This window comes from Homo sapiens, chromosome 9 (assembly GCF_000001405.40).
Source record: "Homo sapiens chromosome 9, GRCh38.p14 Primary Assembly".
NCBI classification, from domain to species: domain Eukaryota; kingdom Metazoa; phylum Chordata; class Mammalia; order Primates; family Hominidae; genus Homo; species Homo sapiens.
Genome location: NC_000009.12, coordinates 37,233,404 through 37,260,736, shown reverse-complemented (window position 1 = coordinate 37,260,736; position 27,333 = coordinate 37,233,404). Strand labels below are relative to the sequence as shown.

The 27,333-nt window shown below is 35.2% G+C and overlaps 1 protein-coding gene across 19 annotated transcripts in view, besides 4 other annotated features; it reads right to left on the bottom strand.

Moving 5' to 3' along the window:
* Nucleotides 1–27,333, bottom strand: part of ZCCHC7 (zinc finger CCHC-type containing 7) — a 237,983-nt gene that overhangs the window by 97,413 nt on the left and 113,237 nt on the right. Inside the window, exons 2-3 of one of the 19 annotated variants that reach the window (XM_011518051.3) lie at nt 13,607–13,667; nt 172–11,244 (exon numbers count right to left, since the gene is read on the bottom strand). The exons of the other annotated variants lie outside the window; for them this stretch is intronic. Coding sequence (XP_011516353.1) covers nt 172–199 — 28 coding nt within the window. The 5' untranslated portion in view covers nt 200–11,244; nt 13,607–13,667. The remainder of the gene's footprint in view (nt 1–171; nt 11,245–13,606; nt 13,668–27,333) is intronic. 19 annotated transcript variants of the gene reach the window in all.
* Nucleotides 8,511–9,527: an enhancer, noted in NCBI's record as "VISTA enhancer hs901". NCBI's record gives its function as "enhancer in: hindbrain (rhombencephalon)[8/8] | midbrain (mesencephalon)[8/8]" and the evidence as "EXISTENCE:transgenic organism evidence [ECO:0001131][PMID:17130149]".
* Nucleotides 8,759–9,521: an enhancer, noted in NCBI's record as "OCT4-NANOG hESC enhancer chr9:37251213-37251975 (GRCh37/hg19 assembly coordinates)". NCBI's record gives its function as "activates a minimal SCP1, AML or CMV promoter by ChIP-STARR-seq in naive and primed H9 embryonic stem cells {active_cell/tissue: H9 hESC(naive and primed)}" and the evidence as "EXISTENCE:reporter gene assay evidence [ECO:0000049][PMID:30033119]".
* Nucleotides 8,986–9,045: an enhancer, noted in NCBI's record as "active region_28381". NCBI's record gives its function as "activates an Ori minimal core promoter by ATAC-STARR-seq in GM12878 lymphoblastoid cells {active_cell/tissue: GM12878}" and the evidence as "EXISTENCE:reporter gene assay evidence [ECO:0000049][PMID:35858748]".
* Nucleotides 20,931–21,225: an enhancer, noted in NCBI's record as "tiled region #4537; K562 Activating DNase matched - State 5:Enh". NCBI's record gives its function as "activates a minimal TATA promoter and a strong SV40 promoter by Sharpr-MPRA in K562 cells {active_cell/tissue: K562}" and the evidence as "EXISTENCE:reporter gene assay evidence [ECO:0000049][PMID:27701403]".

Here is a 27,333-nt window from a genome sequence, read left to right as displayed (position 1 = left end):
AACAAACTCACTGAATACCTGCATGAAAACTACCATGTCTCTGCCCCTAACAACTATATAGGTCCCATTAAGGTCAAATAGTTCATCTTAGGGAAGTCCTGAACAGAGCAATTTAAAGGCAGTTTAGTAGTCTTAGTACTTCGGCAATATAAATGGGCAGAGTAAGCTTACCAGGTATGTAACTTGTGCAGTCACACATGGGCTTGCTCTCAAAAGGGGCCTCTATTTAGTTGAACGGTCCTTTGTCGCCATCTTGAACTTGTTAATGACTTTGAACTTGTACTTTGTAGATGAAGACCAGTGGGACAATGGAGCACAGAACAGAGGAAATATGTCAAGTGTCAGCATATGCACTAAGCAGCTGGACTGGCTGCCTGGGCCCAAATGTGAATACCTGGGACAGACGTGGACAACACAGGGCACTCAAGGCAGTGGCCAGGACTGAGCCCAGATTGGCAATGGCAATGATGGCAGCAGCCCCATGAAAGAGCGGCTCAGCACTGGGGATATACAGTGGAAAGCCAAAGTACTCCTCTTCCTGGAACCTATCCTAACAGTATATGCGCAAATATTAACTCTCCAGCCTAAGGACCAGGACAGGAAGTGTTGGTGCTCAGAGAGTAAAACCTTTGTCAGCATATTATTGCAAAGTATCCAAGTCATGGCACCAAAAATATATCAGAATTCATCAAGGCATTTATAATCTCCAGTTTTATAAACCACTGCAACATTGCAAACCAAATAGCAATAGCTTTAGAAAGAGAAATTGAATATAAAGATTGTCACATTTGGTTGAAAAGAACAATATTTTTGTATGAGAACCAACTGTTTTAATGAAGAACCAACTGTTAATGAGAAGGATTATTTTAAATTTAATGTTTCCATATCTTCATACCTGAAGATATGAGGTAGGATGCACAAACAGACATTCTGAATTATATACAAGTCATGAAGTCATTTGGTTTCTTGGAAGTTGTACAACTTCCAAGTTACAAGAAATAGCAGAAAGAATATTTAAATACCCCTGTATAAATCTACACTTAGAATTAAATCTATACACAGAACTGATTTGTAGAGTTAAAGCTTTTAGAAAAATTGTTCTAAAAATTAGCTCTAGATGTTCTAAATTTAGATTTTGAAATAATTTATCAGAAATTTATCCTAATGTTGTCACAGCCTATAAAATGTTCTTAACAGTGGCATCAGTACAAGGCCTGTCCTCAAAATCAAAAATTATCAAAAAATATTTGTAATCTTGCATTTGCCAAACATAATTGACATTACTTCCAATTATATAAATTAAAAATGAAACTTTATAAAAGTATAAATTTTGATGACTAAAATGAATTTGCAGAAAAAAGAGCCAGAAAGTCATGATTAATCAAGATTTCACAGTGATAAGGTATTATTTATTTACTATCTTTTATAAAAGCATGATACCCACAAACATAATTTTGAATTTGTGTTTACTTATTTATTGCTATTAACTCTACCATGTTTTTCTTCCCAAAGGAAAAAAGCTTTAAACATTAGCACTCTTAACTGTACTTTTCCCCTTGCTTTTTGAACAAAGGCCTGCATTTCATTTTCATTCACACTGTATCCCACAAATTGTATAACCAGCCCCGACCATTAGACGCTAACCCAAGTTTTTTTTGTTTTGTTTTTCATTTTTTCTGCTACATGTTATAATAATCCAAGTTTCTTTTCGATGCTTGCCTATTGTCTTACAAAACTCCTCTGCTTCCTGAAAGCCAACCTTAAACAGCCATCCATGCCCTACCTGTTTTGTCCTTAATTATTTTTCTGGCCACTTTTCTTTAACTTCTGTGCTACAATCCTACAATCCTGATCTTAAAAGCCTGGGTTTTTAAATATCTATTTTTTGCTTTTCTCTCCAATTCCTCCAATTTGTTACTAAAATATTGACAATTAAGCCCTCAGAACAAACTTTTTTTTTTTTTTTTTTTTTTTTTTTTAAGAGACAGGATCTCGCTCTCTCACCCAGGCTAAAGTGCAGTGGCACGAACAATCACGGCTCACTGCAGCCTCAACCTCACAGGCTCAAGCGATCCTCCCACCTCAGCCTCCCAAGGAGCTAGCTGGGACTACCGGCATGTGCCACGCCAATTTTTGTATTTTTTGTAGAGCTGGGTCCCACCATGTTGCCCAGGTTGCTCTCGATCTCCTAGGCTGAAGTAATCTGCCCGCCTCAGCCTCCCAAAGAGCTAGGATTACAGGCATGAGCCACAGCATCTGGCTCCTTAGAATAATTTTTAACTAATTTCTGTTTATTCCCTGTATTCATCCAGTCACTAAATCTTATCAGATCTCCTTTGATATGCCTCTTGAATCTGTGTATTAACCCCATGCTGACTGTGATCATCCTGGACAGGATCCTGGAAACCTACTGTGAGGAGATATCTTATCTCACATGTTCTCTTTAAAGCAACTCATTTGATCCTTGTCAAACCCCTGTAAGACAGGGAGAGGAGGCGCTGATGTAAAAATGGTCCTATTTTATAACTGGAGAAATTGAGGAACAGAGACATAAAGGATAGTGCTCAAAGTCATGATAAAAGCAAACTGCTCAAGGGGGGTATGATGAGATATCCTCCATTGCCCAGCGATATCTATTCTCCTGAGTCCTTTAATTTGCAATAAAGCTTTCCTCAGATCAATTTCTCATCCAGGGCTTTTATACTTATGAACTAGAATACAAAGTATAGTTCCTAATCTTACAATTTTAGGACCAGCTATACCCCTTGCCCTAATAAGATTTTAATCTCTGTGTTGCTATAAATACCTGAGGCTGTGAAATTTATAAAGAAAAGAGGGTTTATTTGGTTCACTCTTCAGCAGGCTATATACAAAAGAAGCATGGCACCAGCATCTGCTTAGCTTCTAGTGAGGGCTCAGGAAACTTAGAATCATGGCAGAAGGCAAAGGGCGAGCAGGCGAGTCACACAGTGAGAGAGAGCTTAGCAGTTTTCAAATTTTTAAGTCTCAGGATCCCTTTATATTCTTAAAAATTGAGAGCCTCAAAGAGCCTTTGTTTATTTGGTCTGTTACTATTAGTATCTCCCATACTAGACATTAAAACTAAAAAAAAAAAAATTAAATAGTTCTCCACTAATTTAAAAATAAAAAATAAATAAAAGTGAAACTTCTATGAAAAATCTATTTTCCGAAATGAGAAGAGTGGCATTGTTTTGTATTTTCAAATGTCTTTCCATATCTGGCTTACTAGAAAATAGTTGAGTTGTCATATCTGGCTCTGTATTTAATCTGCTGTGATATGTTGTTTTGACTGAAGTATGTTCTGGGAAACCAGAATATGCTACCCCAAAATAGGAAGGATTGTTCTACTGAAGGTAGTTTTGAAGGAGCAGATGCAAGAAACCTCTCTGCCTTCCACTTGCCTAAATCAAGACATAGATTTGCAAAGACAAAAGGTATCCTGCCCACCTCTCTACTAGGAGAAACAAAGGTTAACCACTGAAGACAACTTTAGCCTGGAAAAGAATCTGTGTTAATAAGCTTCACCAACTAGCCTCTACCCGCCATATTGATTTGCCCTTCCAAAATTTACTACGGCTACAGATTCAAAGTCCTTTTCCTCAGTCTTGTATTCTCTAAAAACTTACTGTTCTTTGTTGAAAATGCTCTATTCAAAGCCACCTTGAAAACTACTAATTCCATGGGTGTCTCCCATGTATATATAAAATATACATGTCAATAAACTTCTGTCTTTTGTTATAGGTATCCATATCCAATGAAGAATCTATGAGGGTTGAAAAAAAGTATTTTTCCCCTATGGTATGAAGATTATCTGGCATTACACAGTTATGCAGTTGAAAAAGAAAACAGTAATTCAATTGCTTTTTACCATACCTATGGAAACTGTTCTTTTACACTAGGCCAAAATTAACAGGTGATAGTTTCCTAAAAGTTAGTTACAATGTAAAATCTAAAATTGGTCTCTCTTGGACAGTAAATGAAATTTTCACTCATGCATAATTTTGTAACATAATGAATGGGTCATGTGGAAAATACTGGTTCACCGAGTTTTATTTTGTGTGTACAGTACTTCCCGTTTCATCATACAGAATATTCAAAGACATGTACTAGAGTATTGAGGCTTAATAAAATTATTTTTATTGCTTCAAGAACATTCCTAAGTGAAACTAACTAGCTTTTTAAAAAAACTACAGGCATGTAGAAATAACATATAGAATATTATTAGTAAGGTTTCATGTAATTGCCTTCATTCATTCTAAGGAGCCAGAACTTTTACTCCTTACTCCTTATCATCAGTGGAAATGTCAACACATTGAAAAAGGTAAATAACTTCTTAGTATTACTAGCAACACAGATTTGACCTTGAAGAAAGGGACACTGAAAGGAACCAGGGACTCCCAGAGGTACACAGACCACACGATGAGAACTACCATTGTAGGCTGTTGGCTAGTATATAAAGAAAGAGTACATAAAGCTGCACAACACTTGGCATGTGTTTTTGACAATCTGGGGAAAAAAACAAAGATCCATGACCTATCATAATTTATAAATTCTGCTGACTCATGAATCTGAATGGCAGGTTCTACAAGGCTGCTGTTTGGAAGCTAGTAACCAGTCAGAAATGGCATTTTATCCTAATTTCATCAGGTAAATGCTGGAAACAATGTAGAATGCTTATTAAAACGTCACCTACTAATGTTGATCTGAAGAAGTCAATTAAAAATATCTGTTGGAAGAAAATACATGTTACATGGAAAGAAGTAAAGAAAAATCTGTTATAGTGATAATCATTAATTTAGGATTTTGCAAAGACCTCAGGACAATTCCCTCAGCACTGTTAAGAATCTGTGGCTGGGCAAAGCTCATTCACTTATTTTCTCATTTCTTGCACTCTAGAACCTACCACAAGTCATCTATAGTCCCATTTTGATAAAGTGAATCAAGACAAAGAGCTAAAACCAAATGATAGGTTACTCATGGTCTCCCAAAGGGCTGATAGAGCACTATGATGCTCATCCATTGATATCTACTCAATTATTTATAATCTTTCCTGCCAAAGTAGCTCATTTCAAATGCTCAGTGTTGGCAAATATTAAAATACAGTAGCCTTCCATTATCGGTGGGTTCATGTTCCACAGTTTCAGTTACCCGTAGTCAGCTGTAGTCCAAAAATATTATATGAAAATTCCAGAAATAAACAATTCTTAAGTTTTAAACTGCACGCCATTCTGAGTAGCATGATGAAATCTTGCACTGTCCCCATGAGGATGTGAATCATGCCTTTGTCCAGTGTATCCATGCTATATACCTTATCTACCTGTAAGTCACCTAGTAGCCATCTGGGTTATCAGATTAACTGTTAAGGTATCACAATGCTTGTGTTCAAGGTCAGTAGTAGCCTAATACTACATCACAATGCTTACAATGCCTACATTATTCACCTTACTTCATCTCATAATTTCACATCAACACAAGAAGGGTGAGTACAGTGCCACATTCACATTAACTGACATTATGCTATACTGTTATAATTGTTCTATCTTGTTGTTCTCTTATTGTGCCTAATTTATAATTTAAACTTTATCATAGGGATGTATGTATGTATAGGAAAAAACAATGCATACAGGGTTCAGTACTATCTGCAGTTTTAGACATCCACTGGGAATGCTGGAATGTATTCCCTAAAGATAAGGGTAGACTACAGTATAAACATCCCAAGAGGCTCTTCTGATACTAGTTATAAGGCATCAGCAGTGGCAGCAATGTGAGTAGTATTAGTGATTATTTGAACCATCAATTTACATGCATACCATATGTTACAGATTTCCAAGAACAGGTTGAGTATCCCTAATTCAAAAATCCAAAAAAAAAAAAAAAAGAAACTTTTTGAGCATTAACATGGCACTCAAAGGAAATGTTATGCTCCACTTTAAGTATATAACACAAATATCTCAAAATTTGAAAAAATCCAAAATCTAAAACATTTCTGGTCCCAAGCATTTTGGATAAGGAATACTCAACTCGTATGTACTTTCACATACTTACTCTAATTTCATGAATGTAGTAATTCTTAAAGTAGGTAGAGATCACCTTTTTATAGATAAGTAATCTTTTTATAGGTAAGTAATAAACACATATTAGCGGGCTTAAACCCAAACCTTCTGACGCCTTTTTTTAGTGTTCTTTCCTAGATTTTATCACTTGGAGCTCTCTAGTCAACACCCCACTCTCATCTTTTTTTTTGTGGGAGTCTGGGATCCTCAAAATGACAATGAGCCTTCTCAATTATCCCAGATGAGATTCAAACCAATATAAAGGGTTAACAGCATTTAAAAAGTTCCCAACTCTTTGTAAATAAACACCAAAGGCTGCAATTTCCCATTAAAGATTACCATTTTTCTTATGTCAGCCAACTTTCAAAAGTATTATCTTAAACTACATTTATTCAGCAAGCATCTGAGTACCTCTTAAGTATGTTAGTTGGTATGAATATTGTTCAGATTAAAAAACCTGCCAGTTCTTCGTAAAATGGAATTCACTGTAACAAATAAATTGTGATTATTCTGGTTGTACGTTCTCACCATAACTGCCATATACCTGAAATATAGGGATAGTCCTTAACTCACACCATCATTAATGGGTTTTGCTAAATATTCCAATCATTAATGTTCTGGTAACACTCATATATTACTATTACTAACATAATAATGGAATCGAAAAAGGTTTTGGTTCACGTTAAAGAAAAATTTAAACAACTGGCAAAACTGAAATTAGTTTACTAGCTCCTAATTTCCAGTATAAAATTATAAGTGCATATATAATAATTTATATACTTAAAATATATGTTGATAGGATGGTTTAATTGTATAAAAGGACTATCTTTAAAGAGTCAACTTTAAACTGTATCAAGGAGGTAACATTCATATCTATACTTGTGAATCATAAAAACGGTTTTGTTTTTTAATCTATGTTGTGATGACATGTGATAACTACTAAATATGTACCATTCCCTCTCATATTCATGTTACCTGTAATGAATCAAAGACCAAAGTGATAGGAAGTCTCTGCTGAAGTTTAATGTAAATTTTTTTTTATGTGAATCTCCCTGGTCCCACTGTGTGTGTCACGTGGTCAATTTAAATGAAAATACATGAAATGGAAATTTGTTCTTTTCTTCTTCAAGGTCATTCGGTTTACCATGTGTTTCAGTCACATCTGTATCATGTACATAGATAAAGAAAAAGTGGATCGGTAAAATAAAAATAATAACCATAAAATGCTATAACTTCAATGTCTTAGACTTATCAAGATTCATTAAAGAAGCAATGTAATTAAAATTTGCATTGACACTACAATCTTTATTCATAAATCCTGGTAAGCCAACCTCACCATAAGTGATACAGATGTATTTTTTTCCCTAAGTCTTTTAGATGATCATATTATGATTTTCCTTTAAAAAAAAACTATGATGATAAAAGAATAGCATAATCTAATTATTATTCTTCAGGAAATAAAGGGAAATCACATTGTGTTGATTTTTTAATAAAAATTCAATTTTCCAAAAAACAGTTTTCTTGCCGTATCTATAGACCTTTTAGAATCTTAGTTCTAAATTTTACCAGATTCATTAACTTTTTGTGACAAATGTTCTTATTTATGGGAATATGAGTTGTTTTAAATGAAAATGACTCAGCTGTATTTTAATGAAAGGAAGGAAACAAACAGCTCATTTTAACATAAATTTGAGATTTTTCAATAAAGGTGTGAAATTAATTTAGAGTCAGAACTATTAAGTGGGGGTCTCAGAAGGCATTTTAAAGCCTGGCTCCACTTGAAATTCACCAATTTCTAAAAGTTACCTCTAACACAAAATAATAACATTGGAGATGATTAGCTCTCAAATACCAATGTTGGTATTACAGGATGGTACTATGTTTGTCCTCACTTAATGTTCTCTCAACAGGTGAGAAAGCAGTATTAAGTCAAAATCAGCTCTGACTGACGTAAGGGTGACTTAAATTGGGTTGACTGGTAATCTAAGTTAAAACAATAATTTGCAAAGTTATTATCATTTCACCTTGAACGTTAGTTACACTTCAAATTTCACTTTTACATTGAATAGAAATCTCTATGTGTTTTCCTCTAGTGACGGCAGGAGACTACTGTGTTTACATTTTGTATGTGACTATAAGTAATTTCTTAAAATATCCGGGGGACAATAGAAGGGATGAAATTAAGGAATTCCAAAACTGGCATATTAAAATCATATTCAAAGTATATTAAGTATATTAAATTGAGACCAATGATTGTTACACTATTTTGGTTCTGGCTCATTTGGGATGCATATTTTTACTTTTGCCTTAGGCAAAAATTGAAGATAGATTTCATAAATATTTGGGAGTTCTTGGTCACAACCCTGCACTCAATGCTATCTACTGTTTTCAGGTAAATACTAACATATTTTAAAATAAGTTACTTAAAATCACAAAGAAAAACAAACTACCCATCTTGGGATATACTAGGGCAGTTTCAGAGCAATGGAAAATCAACTTAGAGCTGTTTAAACGAGAAATATTACACCTCATTTTCATAAATCCAATTTATTCACAAAAATTTGGTATAGTTTATACCAAACCATAAAGCCTATAAGAGATATATTATTAAATAATGGTATGTTTTCAGAAGGTTTTACAAAATTGTGAATTAAAATAAGTCTATGTTTTATATATTAAAAAAGGCAGGGAAAGAACAAAGGGAAGAAAACAGAAAAAACTAAATTAAAAACACTAATGTAAGCTAATACTGCTTACATATGAACATCAAGATGCCAAGGGACCCAATACAATCCTCAGTCTAACATTTTCAATGGCACAGCCTAGTGATCACACGATACTGGTGATACTCTCTAGTTACCCCTGGCAACCTTTCTCAACTGTAACGATGCTACCCTACAATAGCTTTCACTGGGCAGCTTTCTCTTCACTTAGCTGAATGCTCTGGGACCATCTGCGTCGGCAAGCATAAAAGGCCAGCCTGCCTGTGGGCCCGTCACTCTGAACACCACCTCTCTGACCCTGATTAAATACAACTTTCAATCCTTTTTGTCCTCCCTGTTGACTTCTCCTATTAAGGGAGCCCTCTGACAAAGAAAGCGGAAGAGTGGACTAACTGCCCCCAAGAAAGGTGATGTCTGATACTGCTCAACACAAGGATTAGCAAGCCAATACATAACAAAAGCAAGTTTTGGGGGAGGGGAGAGGTAAAGAAAAAAATGGTTTTAGCTAGAGCTTTGACTAATTCAGTAGGTACACAATTCAACAAATAGCTATACAAGAGGACTTCTTTGATAGAAATAACTATAGCAGAACAATAATTTGGAGAGATACCTTTCAAGATCTTGACATAAGACCATGACATTGACAAAAAAGCCAGATATTTGTTTTCTACTTGATTTTTTTAAATTAAAAAGGAAACATAGTTGAGGACAGGAAAGATTGCTGAAAAAAATGAGAAATGAAATAAAAATATAAATAAATCATAATTATACTTGTTTCATTAGAAAGGTTGCTTGGCTTACTGAACACATTAAATTGACATTTGAGTTTATATAAAGGTGGAAACCAATTCCAAAATACTACAAACAATCATTTTTGTAACTCATCATGCCTAGACTGAGAGAACTTCAATTTGAAGAAACTAGTTTCACAGGATGAAGTCCTTTTAATAAAAAGAACACATTTTAAAACTTCCAAGTAGATGGAGGCTTGTCAATACCATCCACTTCTGTAAAGTAATCAGAACCCACCAATAGGTCAGCTGATCAAAATTACCACCTTTAATAAAACCATCACTTTACAAAGTAACTCATAAGCTTTCCTGCCCTGATATCAGGCCAGCTAATAAATGAAAGATCTGCCTGGCTCAATCAACAAAGCAATTAAATAATGCAACCTCATAATATACCTTGAAACATTAATGAAAAAAATAAGTAAAAACCAACAAGCTAAGGAACTCTATTCTGAGCTACTTAAAAGTCTAAAGTAAAACTTGACTGTACCTTATTCAAGGAATGGCCAATAAGCCTAGAAAAGTCAAGTGAGAGAGAGAGAAGAGAGGCCAGGCGTGGTGGCTCACGCCTGTAATCCTAGTACTTCAGGAGGCAGAGGCAGACGGATCACCTGAGGTCAAGAGTTCGAGATCAGTCTGGACAACATGGTGAAACCTCGCCTCTACTAAAAATACAAAAATTAGCTGGGTGTGGTGGCAGGCATCTGTAATCCCAGCTACTTGGGAGGCTGAGGCAGGAAAATTGCTTGAATCCAGGAGGCGGAGGTTGCAGTGCGCTGAGATTGCACCACTGCTCTCCAATCTGGACAACAGAGCAAAAACTCCATCTCAAAAAAAAAAAAAAAAAAGAGAGAGAAAGAGAGAGATTGATTCCTAGTACACATGAGACTTTCTGTGATAAAACTAGGGAAACCCTGGACAAACTGGGACAAGGTGATCATCCCAGGAGAGAGGCCACATATATGGAGAAAACTATTCATGTGCTAAACACTGTGCTAGATTTTTTCACAGAACTTAATTCACTTAGTCTTCACAACAACCCTATGAGGAAAGAATTTTTTAAATGAGGAAGTCTTGCTAACTATGAGGATAAGTGATCTTTACAAGGCTGGACTATTAGAAGAACAGGAATCAGAATCTGACTGCTTATCTTCAAAGCTCATGTTTCTATCACAATACCATGCTGCCTTTCTACGAGTTAGGCAGGAAGAGCGGTGGAGCCATCATTTTCCTTCAGCACAAAATTTGGCAAACCCAGAAGGACCATACTCTACACATCTCTGACTATGTTGTATTCCAGGAGACCTACAGAGAAACAAAGCAGTGCTTGATTGATCATATAAATTATGGTGGAATCTGAATTGATAAGAGTGTTGAACACTTTAGAAAATCTATGTACTGGCTGGGCGCGGTGGCTCATGCCTGTAATCCCAGCATTTTGGGAGGCCGAGGAGGGCAGATCAAGAGGTCAACAGATTGAGACCACCCTGGCCAACATGGTGAACCCCATCTCTACTAAAGATACAAAAATTAGCTGGGTGTGGTGGCACGCACCCGTAGTCCCAGCTACTTGGGAGGCTGAGGCAGGAGAATTGCTTGAACCCAGGATGCGGAGGTTGCAGTGGACTCCAGCGTGGCGACAGGGCAAGACGCTGTCTAAACAACAACAAATAAAAAAAAAAAAAAAAAAAAGGAAGAAGAAGAAAATATAAGTACAAAACATGCTGCTGGGAACAATTCTTTATTGCTGGATTTCCTGGCTTTATGGGGCTGGGAATTGGCTCTTACAGAGAACGAGGTAAAAACTATGTTTGATAAAGAGAATAGGATCAAGTGTTGAGAATAAGAACTGTGTTCCAGAGCAGGATTCAGATATTCAGATACGGCACTGGAGAACATGACCATTCTCCCTTCTGAGGTTCTCCAACATACCCAGTAATTCCCACTACCAAGATATTGTCACAACAATAAATGGGACCATAGACTCACATCAACAAAAGCCCATTTTAAGAAGCAAAAATTGGGTTGATGTAACCATCTCCCCACCTCTCCCACATTTCCCTTTTCTAAGGGAAAGGGACAATATTCAAGTTTATGGGAAGACAATGTTCTATAACAAAGAAACCAAAGAAGATATGAGATATCCACAAGTAACTAAAATATTAATAACAAAGTTACATGTGACATCTGCATTGAGACTATGACAGATTGTTCTAAGAATTTTACATCATTACTTGTTAGAGTAAGTAGGGAAAGCTTTACAAAAATAGTTATCAGTTGGGCTGGCTTTGAAGGCTGGTGGAATTTAGTTCTGGCAGTCTGATATGAGACAAAGCATTCCAGCTACAGATAGATGAGCAATGGCAAAAGCAGTAAAATCAGGAAAGTATTCAGTATATGGCTATCATCTAGCACTCATAATAAGTTTTTACTTGAATTATGACATGCTTATCAATTTCATCATGGTGTCTTCAGGGATTCACATGAAGGCACCTAACAGGTTTCAGCTATAGGCAGTAGGTATCCAAAACAGGCCTTTTCACTGCCTTTCACTGAACATTCTTTCTAAGAGCTTCTAAGTACTTAGAAGGGTTGGGCAACCAGAGATCCCTGGCTCCCAAACAATGTTATTGGGTAGGAAATCTGGATTAACTGAAGTTGTAGAGTCTAAAAGAGTATAAAAGAACATTTGGTTTAACTTCCCAGATAATACAGGAACCACTACTACTGAAACGCTCCAGGCAGGAAATTAAAATAACTGCAATAACATCATTTTAATTTACCATTTTAAATTACTTTAATTCTTAAACAGATTGCACATCTAGAAGCAGGGTGGTATAATAGGAAAAGTTCTAGCTCTGAAACAAACTGACTTTACCTTCTGAACCTGTTTGTTCAAAAATAAAATTAGGTTAATACCTGTTCTGACTACCTCCTCTGAGAACTGTAAGGGTTGTATGAGAAAATATGTCAAAGTATGTAAATATTAAAGCATTATACAAATGTATTCTACTATCATTTATGCTGGCTTATATATAAAACACTAAAAATAATTTTTAACACATTCATACCTAGATAAAAGAGTTGAAAAACAACTTTTTTTTTGTTTTCTAATAAATAGGAATAAATAGGCAATACTCTTCAGGTTTGTGACTTGTCTTGGTGTCAAGTGAAGAGATGATGAAAATATATCCTTGATTTCCAGCTTTATTATTATTATTATTATTATTTTTACTTTTACTTTTTTTGAGACAGGGTCTCACTTTGTCTTCCAGGCTAGAACACAGTGGTGCAATCATGGCTCACTGCAGCCTTGACTTCCCGGGCTTAGCAGAGAACTACTTAGTTGGGACTATAGGCACATGCCACCATGCCCAGCTAATTGTTTTTATTTTTTATTTTTCTAGAGATGGGGTCTCCCTGTGTTGCCCAGGCTGGTTTCAAACTCCTGGGCTAATGCAATTCTCCTACCTTGGCCCTTCCCAAAGTGCTGAAATTAAAGGTGTGAGCCACTACACCCAACTTCCAACTTCATTTCTTATCAAAACTGGACCAATGGCTTTGAAGCCTTAATGTCCTTAACTGCTATACTGAAAATAATTTTCAGAAACAGTACAACATTCTGGTACTGATACCACATCACCTAGAACAGAGTTACAGATGGGGTATTCAAGTTTTAAATAAACAATACATTTGAAAAATGGTGTAATTCCTGTCTAAGAACACTTAAATGCAGTAAGGTCACTGATCTCTCATTGAAATGGTTTTTTGCTCATTTCTCTCTCTACCCAGGTCCCTCTTCAAAGTTTTATTTTGTCACTCAACAGTGAGCAACAAGAGACTTCAGGAAAGTTACTTGATATCACTACATTTTTAAACTGGAAACAGCAATAAAAATACCTACCTCTCCTTCACAAAGCTGTGAAGTGAGGTGTGAAAGGCTAAGTGACAGAATATAAAAATCCACAAAGTACATTTATGTCCACTTATATACGTTATCTAAAAAATTTGAACTCACAGAAGTAGAGAATAAAATGGTGGTTACCAGGAGTTTGGTGGAGAGGGGGTTGGGGAGGTATCTGTCAAAGATAACAAAATTTCAGTTAGATAGGAAGAATAAGTTAAAGATATCTGTTGTACAACATGGTGAGTACAGTTAACGATACACTGTATTCTTAAAAATTGCTAAGAGAGTAGGTTTTAAGTGTTCTCATCACAAAAAACAGGTATGTGAGGTAATACATATGGTAATCATCTCAATTTAGCCATTTCACAATATATACAGTCGTCCCACAGTATCCAGAGGTTCCAAGGTTCCAAGATGCCTCAGCTACCAAAATCTATGGATGCTCCTGCAATCAGTCCTGTAGAACCCATCGATACAAAAAGTTGACTTGCAAATATATTTTCCACCCATGGTTAGTTGAATCTGTAGATACCGAGAGCCAACTGCACATATTTCAAAACATCATGTTGTACATGTTAAATACGTACAACTTTTAATATGTCAATTTAGAAAAGGGGAAAAAATACATGATTCTTTTTCCTGCCCCAAATGATGGTCCACACTGGCCCAGAGTTTACTACACCAGTTTTATAGCAATGTGTTTAGTAAATGCACTCTTCATTATAGTTTATAATATCCTATACTGGTATAGTACATTAAATATTTCACAATGCATTCACATTTGAAACATAATGAATTAGGTAACAAAATCATTATCATACGCTGATGCTAAAGATGGAGAGCCCTGAAGACCCTTGTGGACTCCTGTGGGTTCAGTTAACATTCTCATGCTGATTACCTTCCTAATCTATATATCTAGCTTCATTCTCTCTTGAGCTTGGCTCTATATTCATATATCCAGTTCCTTTCTGGACACCTCAAATTAGATCATCCACAAGCACCTCAAATCAAATGTTAAAAACAAACTATTATTTGTCCACTTTCAAACTTGATTCTCCTCTAGTATTCACTATCCAGAAGAACAGTACCATGACCTCTCATCTATTTTAGAAAGGAATCAGTCTCTTTAAGTTTGATCTTGCCATCATCTGCCCAACCCCTGCTATTCTTTGCCTTCTGCCAAACTGACTTGTAAATTGTAAATATGATCCTGTCACTATCTTACTAAAAATATCTTTGAGATATTCTTGATTTTTCTGATCGTTCTTATAAATCCCTTCATAATCTGGTCTCACTTTACCAATCCAGACTAATGTCTCACTATTCTCCATTACCTTTAAAACCTATGGTCCAGCCACACCAAATTATACATAAATCTCTTAAGCAATAGCAATAGGGCTATATACCTGCTATTCTCTGAACCTGCAACAACACTCTCTCTCTTCCAGGCCTTCCTCTGTTTAGCTTATTTTAATTATTCTTCAGGTCCTAATTCAGTTTTGGGAAATCAGATAAGACTTCTGGAGGAAAGAAGTCTTGGAGTAAAGAAGTCTTACCTGATTTCCCAAAAGTGAATTCAGAGTCCTAGACGTCCCCATGATGTCCTATATTTTCATCTATCAAGGTACTTACACTTTGTATTGTAAGTATCCATTTATGTGTCTGACTCTCTCTTAGGCTACGAACTAGTTACTCTTAGGCAATAACACATTTCTACTGCTTAACATTGTCCACTCTGCACAGGTAGGTGCTCAACAATAGTTTGTTGGATTGAATTTAGTTTACTGTTATATGGCTTCTAAGAAATTATTTGCTTATCTAATAATTTGCTAGTATATTTTAAAATCACAATTTCAACTGTTTAAATGGAAATTCCTTTCTTTTATTTCAGTCTTTTAATTTTTAAAAATAGCTTCTTCTTTAAAGTACTAGAATATTGAACATTAAAGAAGAGTTACATATCCTTTCTATTGAAACATTTCAAGGAGAGGATGAAAATCTGAAACTACTGACTATAACTGTGTTCAAAACATAAAAATAAAAAATAAAGTTTATCTTTAAAGTTACTCAATTTATGCCAAATATAAAATTTTATCTATCTAAAATATTTATCTACTTTGCACTCAGAATCTGACATACATATTACTGTATTTGAAAATCAGTCTTTTCTAAAAATTTGATTTGTCTTAAAAACCAAGTCATTTTCTACAAGAATAATTTCCACTTTGATCCCATAAAATCAGTGAGAAAAAGGGGTTTATATACTCATATGATATATTAAAATAGGATTTGATTCACTTTACAGACAACTTTTCTTCCAAGTGAGATATATCTATCATGTTTTGGTAGGCTTCTTATGGGGAAATTAGCTATTATAAATTATTCAATGGAACAAATGCTCTCCACCATTCTTCACTACTGACTTAAAAAAAAATTCAACACTGGATTCTATTCCACAGTGAATATATATGAAAAATACACAGTGGCCCTCACTGATCAATCATGGTAGAACCCTCATGACACAGCCATAGCCAACAAACAGTGCAAAACATTTACCACTTCTTTTTAGAACAAAAGGAAAAATGTGAAAATGGCAGGATTACTTGGGTTTTAACAGGAAAAAACTGTCTTGGCAAAAATAATTCATTATTATTCACCCTCTCTTAATACATGAAGATTAAAGGCCTCCCTCACTTCCAGGAAGTTTATTATAAATCAAATCATATTTAAAAACATTAAGAGTTAGTTCCCTTTTAAATAACTCATATGGATAAGCTATTTTAAAATAAACTGTTTTATAAAATAAATTAACTTCCATTTATGTAATTAATTGGGCTATTTTAAAAACCATTCTGCCTAAAACAAAATATAACCCTCACTATACTATGGTATATTCAGTAGGAAATCCAAGTTGCTCTAAAATAAAAAATGTTTCTATTTAAAAAACAAGGGCTGGGGCAGTCTTTTTCTTCTTTCTTTCTTTTTTTTTTTTTCTTTAAACGAAGACATTCCTGCACAATAAAAATTCACTTAACTTTACTCCATAAGTACTTGACCTGTACCACAAAGCAGCTCAGGCTTGCAAAATGGCTAGTATGAGAAGCAAAAAGAGTAAGTTTGTAAGTCGAGCTGGGCAGCAACCATATGGCATTACAAAGGACCACTAGGAGACAATAAACATACCAAAAAAATGCTTAATTTAAGGTAAATCCTTATTGTTTAATGAAGTGAAAAATGAATAAAATGAGTCAAGATGTACAGGATAGTAAGTTTGGAGACACAGAAGACAAACTCTACGGTCATATCCTCAGACCATACAATTTTACAGCAAATTGTTACTACTACGTAAAAATCCACTGTGCGATGCTCTTTGTGAATTAACCAATGAAAACACCAGAAGGCTAGCTAGACTAGTTAATGTTTCCACTTGAACTTTGATCAACATTTTGCTGATACAGTTGTATCTACAGATTGAAAAGTGTTTTCAAGGGTTTCAGTTGGCAGTCTGGACAATTTTTTGTTGTTGTATTCAAATCAACCATGTCTGCAAAGAAAGCATGCTAACTCCTCTAGCATAGTCCACAGTGCAGTTTGAATAGTTGTTCCCTGGCTTTGTAAGAGTTTAGTATGTGTGTATATAAACTCAGTTTTAACCCTGAATGCAAGGACCTTGAATACTGCACAGTGGTTTCTGTGGCACTTACAATTTACTAATAAATTACAAAATGGTAGTTTGAAAAACTGAGAAAGCAATATTGATATCTCCTCTAAAATAAGGTCTTTTCAAAAAGTAAGATTTTGCCAAAAATGAACAGCTAAAGAGTTTCCAAAGCACTTGTAGCCGGCAATACTCAATGCTGAAATAATTTCACAGTATTAGTGACCAGATATCTACAGATATAATTTTAAAACAAAGGTTTAGCATTTTCCAGAGAAGGCTTTACTAAATATTTAAAATCTGTTTTCATAATGTTTAAATTTTACACGGTAGATCTATGACATCAACATAAAACAAATATATATAAATTTCAAATGGCTTATCCATCGATTCCTTTAAAAGCTGTATTAATTTGGATGTCATAAACTTTGCTCAGAAATAATTCTGTATTTCCTGCCATAATTCTTAACTATGTTTTAGCCAAAAAACTTAAATGTTAATCATAATAATCTGGGCATTTTGGTTTTCTAAAATGAAAGAAATATGCTTTTAAAAAAAGAAGAAAAATAAATGTGCTTCTTATGTCATAGGTAAGTATACACATATGACTCAGATGATTGCTTTTCTCTAATGGCAATTCCAGATGTGAGGGTCAAACTTGTCACTGAATCTGGCTTTCCTTAATACAAAACCATTCAGGGTGCTGATACAAAGAATTGCTTCCTGAAGTTCAAATATACTTTCATACTTTTGTTTAAGCGTATGTAAAGCTTTTAATTTAAAAGCAATTCTTAATAGATAAAATATGTAAATGTAAAATGTAAATATAAAATACACAATTTAAAATAACTTGAGGCAGCAAGCTCTAGATTTCCAATAGTATCTCAGCAACAATTAGAACACATTTTTAATAAGAGCTTCACTATGTCATCCTGTCAGCTTGGCTTTATTGTATTAATACAGGAATATGTACTATCAGAAAGAAGTTCAAAAGCACTATCTACATAGAGTACAAATTTCTGATATAAGTACTTGGTATTACATAGCATTAATAGTTCAAATAGCAACAGAAATACATATTATGGACAAGATGGCATAAGCATACATTTGCTCCACTGACAGCACCATCCCAAGTATCATGGGAAGCAAGGAAGTGCCCTCATACATATAGCATATAAATTATATAACCAAAACTCCATGGATCCATTTGTAACTCTCTAGTCAAAGCTAAACATCACATACATTTCCATTTACCTTAGATGCTAGAGAAAAACTCAATTTCCTTTGAACATCATTTGGCAGAAAGCCAAGCAATAAAGAATCTGACATTAGTTTGGAAATTTTAACGGATTGCATGTAGATTATACCAAAACATTTTAAAATGTTAATCATTTTATTTAATACTAATTTAATACAAATAAGCAGTTATGATTTCCTTATTTGGCAGCCAAATATTTGGAATGCTATTGGATGCTCTATGCACCTACCCCTATAACAAAAGCCAGTTCATTATTTATTCAGATTATTATTCAGATGGGAGAAAAAATACTAATGGAAAATCTGAGAAAATATCAGCATCACTAAGATAAACCAAAACCTATTTTAACAGAAAAAAATGGTGCAATGTTTCAAGAAGAACTGGAATTATATATTCTGAATGATCCTAAGCTGATGAGCCACTACTGACTTAGGGGATAAACATTTTATTACAGCAGTCAATTTGGAAGTTATAAAATTCCTCTTTTGGGAGTTATTTGGGGGGTTAGAATAGGGATGCAGCTAGAAAAATCAGTGAAATCTCCAGAATGAACAGCCTGGCACTTTAGTATCTCACTGGGCACTCAGGAAAGCTATACTATAGAAAGCAGGTTACCATTTATGATAGTTGTATTTTCTGTGTTATCTAGAGAAAAACAGGTTCATCCATGCAAAATGGAGTGTTTTAGAAGATACTGCTGCTAAAATGAAAGACTTTTCAAAAGGAAAAAGTGATTATTCCAGATGAAATGAGAAGCTCCAATGTCAACCTTACTTCCTGAATCAGCAAAAATCAAAGCTTTACTCAGAATAGGAAATTGGAGATTTTCTTTTAATTTACATATCTTTTTTGCTGAGTATGTTTTAGCTGAAATATGAGAGAACTTCTAAGAGACAGCACTTCTCATTTCCAATCGTGCTTTGCTATGGCATTATAAAATGTATAAAATTCCACTACTTGGAACTAAGAATACATAAATTTTACTAGCACTAATGTAGAAGAATCAAGAGTTTAAGTCAGAAATAGCTTTTCATTTATAACATTTTGTTATACGCTCATTACCCAGGTCAATACCACACCAAATACTCAGCTCTAAGTAAAAATTTTAGGTATGACTGGGACTTATCTAAATAGCTAAAGGTTTGGCATATTATAAGCAAAATTCTTAAATAAACATCAAAATAAAAAACAAGAAAAATATCTTTGACCCAGATACCTTATTGTAATGTGCACACTTATTGTGTATATCAATCCTTTGATTAAATGAGAGGTCCAAGTGTGGTAAGAGGCCTAGATAAATCTCAGAAATTATTGTTAAATGAATTTTTATTTTTTAAAAGTGAAATTTTATTCAATACTTTATAAAATTTCAATAGTATTATTAAAAATCTGAAAGTATATCCACATTAACAAATATCTATCTCTTGGCTATTTCTTTTACGTCAATATTTTATTGCATATTAAATGTTTTTAATCGTAGTTGGGTGGCTTCTTAACAATAACAAACACAAAATGATGGCCTTTTAGCTAGAAAAAAAATTTTTTGTTTAATTCCATCCCTTTTGAAAGAAATGACGTAAAGTATGCCATCTCTATCCCAACCTTTGCTACTCCTGCTGCTTCTTTTCCTTTATCTTAGGAATTGAAGGATGAAATGCGGTCAGATTTTCCCTATTTAAATGAGTTTATTCAGTGAGGGTAAAAAAATTATCTTTTGGTTTAATCTTAAGTGGCAAGAAAAATAAAAGATTTCTTATCCACAAACTTTTTAAACATCAATATTTTATTTTCTCTGGCCTTTACATAATACCTTACCAGAATTCACCCAGTAACCATTATTAATAGGTATAAGTAAAATTTGATTTATCTTCCTTCTAACACACAACTAATTAAATATCAGATTAATGTAGTTAGAATTTGGGCAACTCTCTTTTATTAACCTCTATACAAATTCTCTAACAATACTTAATGGCACATAAAACATATAAATATAAATTTAATATTCTGAGAAACTAGATTAAATTAGTAACAATCTAAAGCCAAAAATATATACTGAGTTATTTTACTATGAGAAAAACAGGACCTGAACAAAAAACGAACACCAATCATGGGAAAGGTAAGTAAAGTTTTTGAAGATTTTTCTGTATTCTCTTCACAAAATGAGTCACTTATAAGGAGGAGTATTCAGACTCAAATGTATACTGCCCCAAACCCTCAACCACAACAGACAACCTTCTAATGATGTATAAAGCCCAGGTTTTATGTTGATCATTATTCTAATAATTGGCTTTTAATACATCATTTTGCTACATAAATGCCTCGCAGCTTACCCAGGGAAACTGTCAAACATTTTCCTTTTTATTTTAATGTCTACTGAACATCTCTGAATGGTTCCCATATGTTTTCATTCAATATTGATATTAAAAGATAAAAACAGCAAAAAGAAAAAGTCTTTGTTTAAAAGCTTTAGGAACCAATCTCATCCTGAATTAAACATACAGGTAAAGCACAGTGCAGTTAAAAGGCAGACTGTGTCCCAAATATACATGCATAATGGACATCAGGTTTATATGATGTAGAAAACCAACTTCCCCAACTGTAAAGGGTTTGAACAGGCCAATTATTTCTAACTATCCTGTGATGAATCATCACTTTTTCAACAGTGTACAGAGACTAAGGGATGGCCAATAATAAAAAAATGACAGTGTGGTGGCCTAGCCTTATAGAAGCTGGTTTTCATAGACCGAGCTGAGATATACCTGCTGTTTTCTAAGGCAGTATCCCATGCTTAAAACCCTCCCTGTCTGCCTTTGTTCAGTTCTTTTACTAGCAACCAATCGCTTTCTTTTGTTTCAGCCTAGTAAAAAACTCAAAGGACTAGAACATGAAGGTCATCTAGGTCTACAACGTAGATGAACAAGCCAACAAAGCAACATCACAGGGCAAAGAGCAAACGCATTGTAATAAGAATCTAATACCAACAAAAAGGAAAATCAATATTAAACAATGAAAACTAGTAAACACTTAGGATGAAAAGAATGACTGCTTTGCTTTATATAAATATTTAGATAATGTTCTTTTAAATAAAAAATGAAACACTAGCCAGTTAATAATTATTTTCAAATTTAAGTGAAATACTTTCTGCAACACACAATAATAACACAATGACCTACTAGCTAGGAAAAAATATACTTAAATTTATGTGTAAGTAAGGGAACATTTTAAGTCCTTTGGCTTTTTCTAATAATAAATTTCTTTTCATCTATGTAGAACACTGATGACTCCAATTTATTGTGTTGTTCTTAAAATGTAAAAACAAAACTAACCACAACTATATAGAGTCCTAAGCTATATGGCAGAAACAATCAACATGTAAAATAACCAGAGAATTTGTTTACTTTTCAATCCTATGTAGGAAAAATGAAAATAATTTCATAATTATTTATAAAAAGCTGCTTTTCCAGCTTTTGTTTTCCCTACTACAACTTTGCAACTATTTCCTTTTTACATTTTCATTGCAATCGTGATGTTAATTGCTGCCATCACATTTATTCGACATGCCAAGTCTGCGGTGGGGCAAATGGGATTCTCATGATTTGAAGCACAGAAAGAAACAGTTGAAATGATCAACCAGGTGAGAAACAGTCTCCTGAATAATAGCAAAATAATGCAATTTCATCTAAGCAAAATCGAAACCAAATTTTGCCTTCAATAAAGGCCATTTTTTAAAAAAGTGGACATCAAGTGGATCGGGAAACATTTATTATTAAACAGTTTCTCGGTAACACAAAAAAAACTTATTTACTAAGGTTTCTTCTTCCATTTTCTATTCTCCTCAAAGAATATTGGAACACAAAGAAAAAAGAAACCAAACAGTTAAAATATACTTCTGTTAAAGGAAGAAAAATCACTTAGCAAAACAGTACAAACTATTACATATCATAGCAGGTGTACTGTCCAAAAAAGCTACATCACCTCAGAGAAACCTACAAAAAAATCAGGAATATGTCAAACAAGCAAAAAGTTCCTACTTCATTTCTCTTTGCATGAGGTGGAGAAGGAAAGCAAAAGTAATGTTACAATAGTATTATAAGAAAGTCACTAATAAATCTGGTTAACCAGGATAGAGAATCAGTACTGACTTGTCAGGGCAGATGCTATAAACAAATCTCTCCTTTCTTCAAGAGTGCTAAACTCAACACAAAAGATCATGGCAGAGAGAGGTCAAGACTCTGATATTTCTGTTTTCTGATCATCAAGGCAATTAGGAAAAACAAAACAAAACTCTGAAAGCTAAATAGGTGAGATTTTTATATGTTCATAATAAATGTGATCCGTTGATTCAAAGGGTAATGAAACGAAAATGAAATAACAACGGGAATGAGTTTTGCCCACCACCAAGAATTATACATAGAAGGGATTACGATCATTAGTGTTTTCTTTAAATGTCTCCTTTATAATGCTGTGATCCAGCAAATACACACATTAAAATATCCCAATAATCCAGTGCTACTAAGGCATGGCTCTTAATACCATCTGTCCCCACTGTTTTCCTGAGGAGAAACTGATTGTGCTCTCTTTAATAACTCTTGCATATTAAACTTGCATGTCACATCTCTTCTAAAGGTTAAAAGCACTTTGAAGACAAGAACTATGCCTTATTTTGTGCCATTCTAACCTAGATGCCAAAAATTTATGAATTATTTGAACTAAGTGACCATTGTGTGAAAATACAAAATAAATACAAGACATATACTTCCTGACTCAGAGAGGTTTACAGTACGGTTAAGGAGATGAAATATATAAATTAGAAGCAATATCACTAATTTTAAAGAATAGCTTTTTAAGTGATACAGTCAAGGGGAAAGACATGGAGGAAAGGAAGGAGAACAGAGTATGAAGACAGAACCCTGAAACATGAGAAGAGGATCACTATCTATTCATGAAACCTTAAGTCTTGCTAGAAAGATAGCATAGAGAGTAATTTCAATTAGCGCTTGTGAATTTGAAAGGAATATTGCTAAACAACACATTTCTCAGAGAGTTATTCTTAAGTAAAACCAAAAGTACAGTCTTGTTCTAATGGAATATGTTCACTCAAGGCATGAAAGCAGGGGCACTGGCAGTTCATTTTGAAGGGCAAAAGGGTATCTTGGGCCTTCCTGTTGTGTCTTCTTTTTAAGGAACTCCAGGTTGAGTGCTCAGTCTTCATAAAACTACTGTACAGCTTGACTAGTACTGGTTTCAAAGGCAATTAGAATTGCCTTTGGTTAGAGAACTTTCTTCAACAAGCTAGCGTAGAAGGAACTGAAATAATAACTGTAAAATAGGACCTACGGGAAACTTCTGAGACATAGGCACCCCTCTTGAAGAAGTTCAAATTGAAAGCACTTGGGTGATATAATATCTATGACACAACCTCAAAGGCAGGAGATTATGAGATGCAGGAGATGAAGGATATTTCTAAAGCCAAAATGTAACAACTGGAGTGAAACTGATAAAATGATTTTTCAACTTAGCTTTTCATCCTTCCAAGGCAGAAAAATTGAGCAGCCTGCACTGTGCCGTGTATGGGACTTCCAGATGAGGTTTACTGTATGCTATGCATAGGAATTAAAAATCTGAGAGCACTGGCCGGGTGCAGTGGCTCACGCCTGCAATCCCAGCACTTTGGGAGGCTGAGACGGGCGGATCACGAGGTCAGAAGATCGAGATCATCCTGGCTAACACGGTGAAACCCTGTCTCTGCTAAAAATACAAAAAAAAATTAGCCGGGCGTGGTGGCGGGCGCCTGTAGTCCCAGCTACTCGGGAGGCTGAGGCAGGAGAATGGCGTGAACGCAGGAGGCGGAGCTTGCAGTGAGCCGAGACAGCGCCACTGCACTCCAGCCTGGGCAACAGAGCAAAAAAAAAATCTGATAGCACTTCAGATAAAAAAAAAAAAGGTAGAGAAATACCCTGTGAGCCTTGGTTAAAATATATTTTAAAATATAACATGGTCTTCATCAGTTTCCATAAATTGTCTAGAAATCTAGTTCTATACAATAAAGTTATCTTCCCACAATAATGTATCATCTCACACCTATAAGAATGGCCAGTATCATGACAAAAAACAAATGCTGGCATAGATGTGGAGAAATGGGAACCCTTATACAATGCTGATGAGAATGTAAATTAGTACAGCCATTATGGAAAACAGTGTGGAGGTTCCTCAAAAAACTAGAAGTAGAGCTACCATATGATCCAGCAATCCCATTGAGTTATTTATCCAAAGACAATGAAATCAGTATGTCAGAGATATCTGCACTGTTTATTGTAGCACTACTCACATTAGCCAAGATATAGAATCAATCTATCTGCCCACCAACAGAGGAACAGACAAAGAAAATGTGATATAGATACACAATGAATACTATTCAGCCATTAAAAAAAGAATAAGGGCCAGGTGCGGTGGCTCACACCTGTAATCCCAGCACTTTGGGAGGCCAAGGTGGGTGGATCACGAGGTCAGGAGATGGAGACCATCCTGGCCAACATGGTAAAACCCTGTCTCTACTAAAAACACAAAAATTAGCTGGGCATGGTGGTGTGTGCCTGTAATCCCAGCTGCTCGGGAGGCTGAGGCAGGAGAATTGCCTGAACAGGGAGTCGGAGGTTGCAATGAGCCAATATTGTGTCACTGCACTCCAGCCTGGCGACAGAGTGAGACTTGTCTTGAAAGAAAAGAAAAAAAGGACAGGGAAGGGAAGGGAAGGGAAGGGAAGGGAGGGGAGGGGAGGGGAGGGGAGGGGGGAGGGGAAGGGAGGGGAGAGGGGAAGGGAGAAAAAGAAGGAAGGAAGGAAAGAAAGGAAGGAAGGAAAGGAAGGAAAGAAAGGAAAGAAAAGAAAGAATAAAATCCTGTCCTTTTTGGCTACATGGATAAGCCTGGAGGACATTATATTAAATGAAATAAGCCAGACACAGTAAGACAAATACCACATGATTTCTCCCATATACGGAGTTTAAAAAAGCAGCTCTCACAGATGTACAGGGTAGAATAGTGGTTACCAGAGACTGGCCAAAGACTGGATGGAGAGAGGTTAGTCAATAGGTATAAAAGAACAGATGGATAGGAGGAATAAGTTCTAGTTTTCTGTTGCACAGTACAAGTACAGTGATTACAATTAACAATAATACTACATTGTATATTTTTCACAATAACCAGAAAAGAGGATTTTGAATGTAACATTTTGAATGTACTTGCCAGAAAGAAATGATAAATGTTTGAGGTGATGGATACACTACTACCCTGATTTGATCATTATACAGTGTATACATGTATTGAAACATCATACTGTACCCCACAAATATGAATTGAATATATTGTACATAATCAAATAAAAATAAAACTTAGAAAGTTATTTTTTAAATTATCAACTTGAGAAAAGATTAAATGACACTGCAGGTAAAACGACATAGCAGACATTCAATAAATTGTTAAAAGAGTGGCTAAAATATTTTCATAAAGTTATAATGAAAAGCTGAAAGGACAAACACATAAGGCCTGGAAGAATCTTTGAAGCTTTCACAAAGACTATTTAAAATTATTTTAATTTTTCTAAAAAAAAGGAAGTGTACAATGTACATAGGATTCTCTATTAGATGACACAAGTACTAGGTTTTGGTCTTTTAACAGTTAACTATTTACTCTCTTTAGCATCATTTCCTTTCTTCTGTGTTTCTTATCAGAAAATCTATCCATAGGGTATGGATGGTGATAAGGGATGGTTAACCACCCTATACTTCACTGCATCCCCATTAGGGAGGTGGGTACACCATTCACACCCATCCAATCCAAACATCAGACCCCACTGATTGGACCAGGAATAATCCAAGCTGAACCAATGAAAGAACTTCTTGTGCTTTAACCAGAATTATCAAAAAAGATACTATCTCTGTCTGAGACATAGGTGTTAAGGACATGGAAGTCAAAAGTACCCAAAGCCATTTTCCTCTTACTACAGAAGGCCTACGAATGAAGCCAGTCAGCACAGAGAACAATAGATCTGAGAAACAGGATGAGCTAGTGTTAATGCTTGGACCTCTAGAATAGATCTAGAATGATCCAGCTATGCTGAGAACAGATAAATGCCTAAGTGAGTCAATAAATCCCTATCCTGGCCGGGCGTGGTGGCTGATGCCTGTAATTCTAGCACTCTGGGAGGCCAAGGCGGGTGGATCACCTGAGGTCAGGAGTTCAAGCCTGGCCAACATAGTGAAACCCTGGCCAACATAGTGAAACCCTGTCTCTACTAAAAATACAAATATTAGCCGGGCGTGGTGGCAGGCGCCTGTAGTCCCAGCTACTCAGGAGGCTGCGGCAGGAGAATCGCTTGATCCCATGAGGTGTAAGTTGCAGTGAGCCGAGATCGTGCCACTGCACTCCAGCCTGGGAGACACAGTAAGACTCCGTCTCAAAACAAAACAAAAACAACCACCAAAAAACACCCTCTAATCCCCACTTCCTTACCTTCTTTTTTCTTTCTTTCCTTTGGTTTGGGTTTCTAAAACCCTCCATCATTTTCTCTTGACCCTGTCAGTCTCCTGTCATTCCTTCATGTAGTGCCATTCTCTGCCATTCCTAGTAATTCTGTGGCTCCACTGCAATACTAAAAGATGGTGAATGAATGCCTGATCTGGGGATATTTCAGTCTACTTAATGGTTACTTGACCTTACCACTAAACAAGGTGAGGAAAGATTTATGGATAGAGACTACAGAATCAGTTCTTAAAGAGAACATAACCTCTAATTGTTCAAAAATAGTTGTGATCTCATTATTTAACACTGGTATGCAATTAAGAAAATTAACATTTTCAGAAAGTGCTCTCAGTAAGAAGTCCAATCACAATTAATAAAAATCTATCTTTATAAGCATATTATACC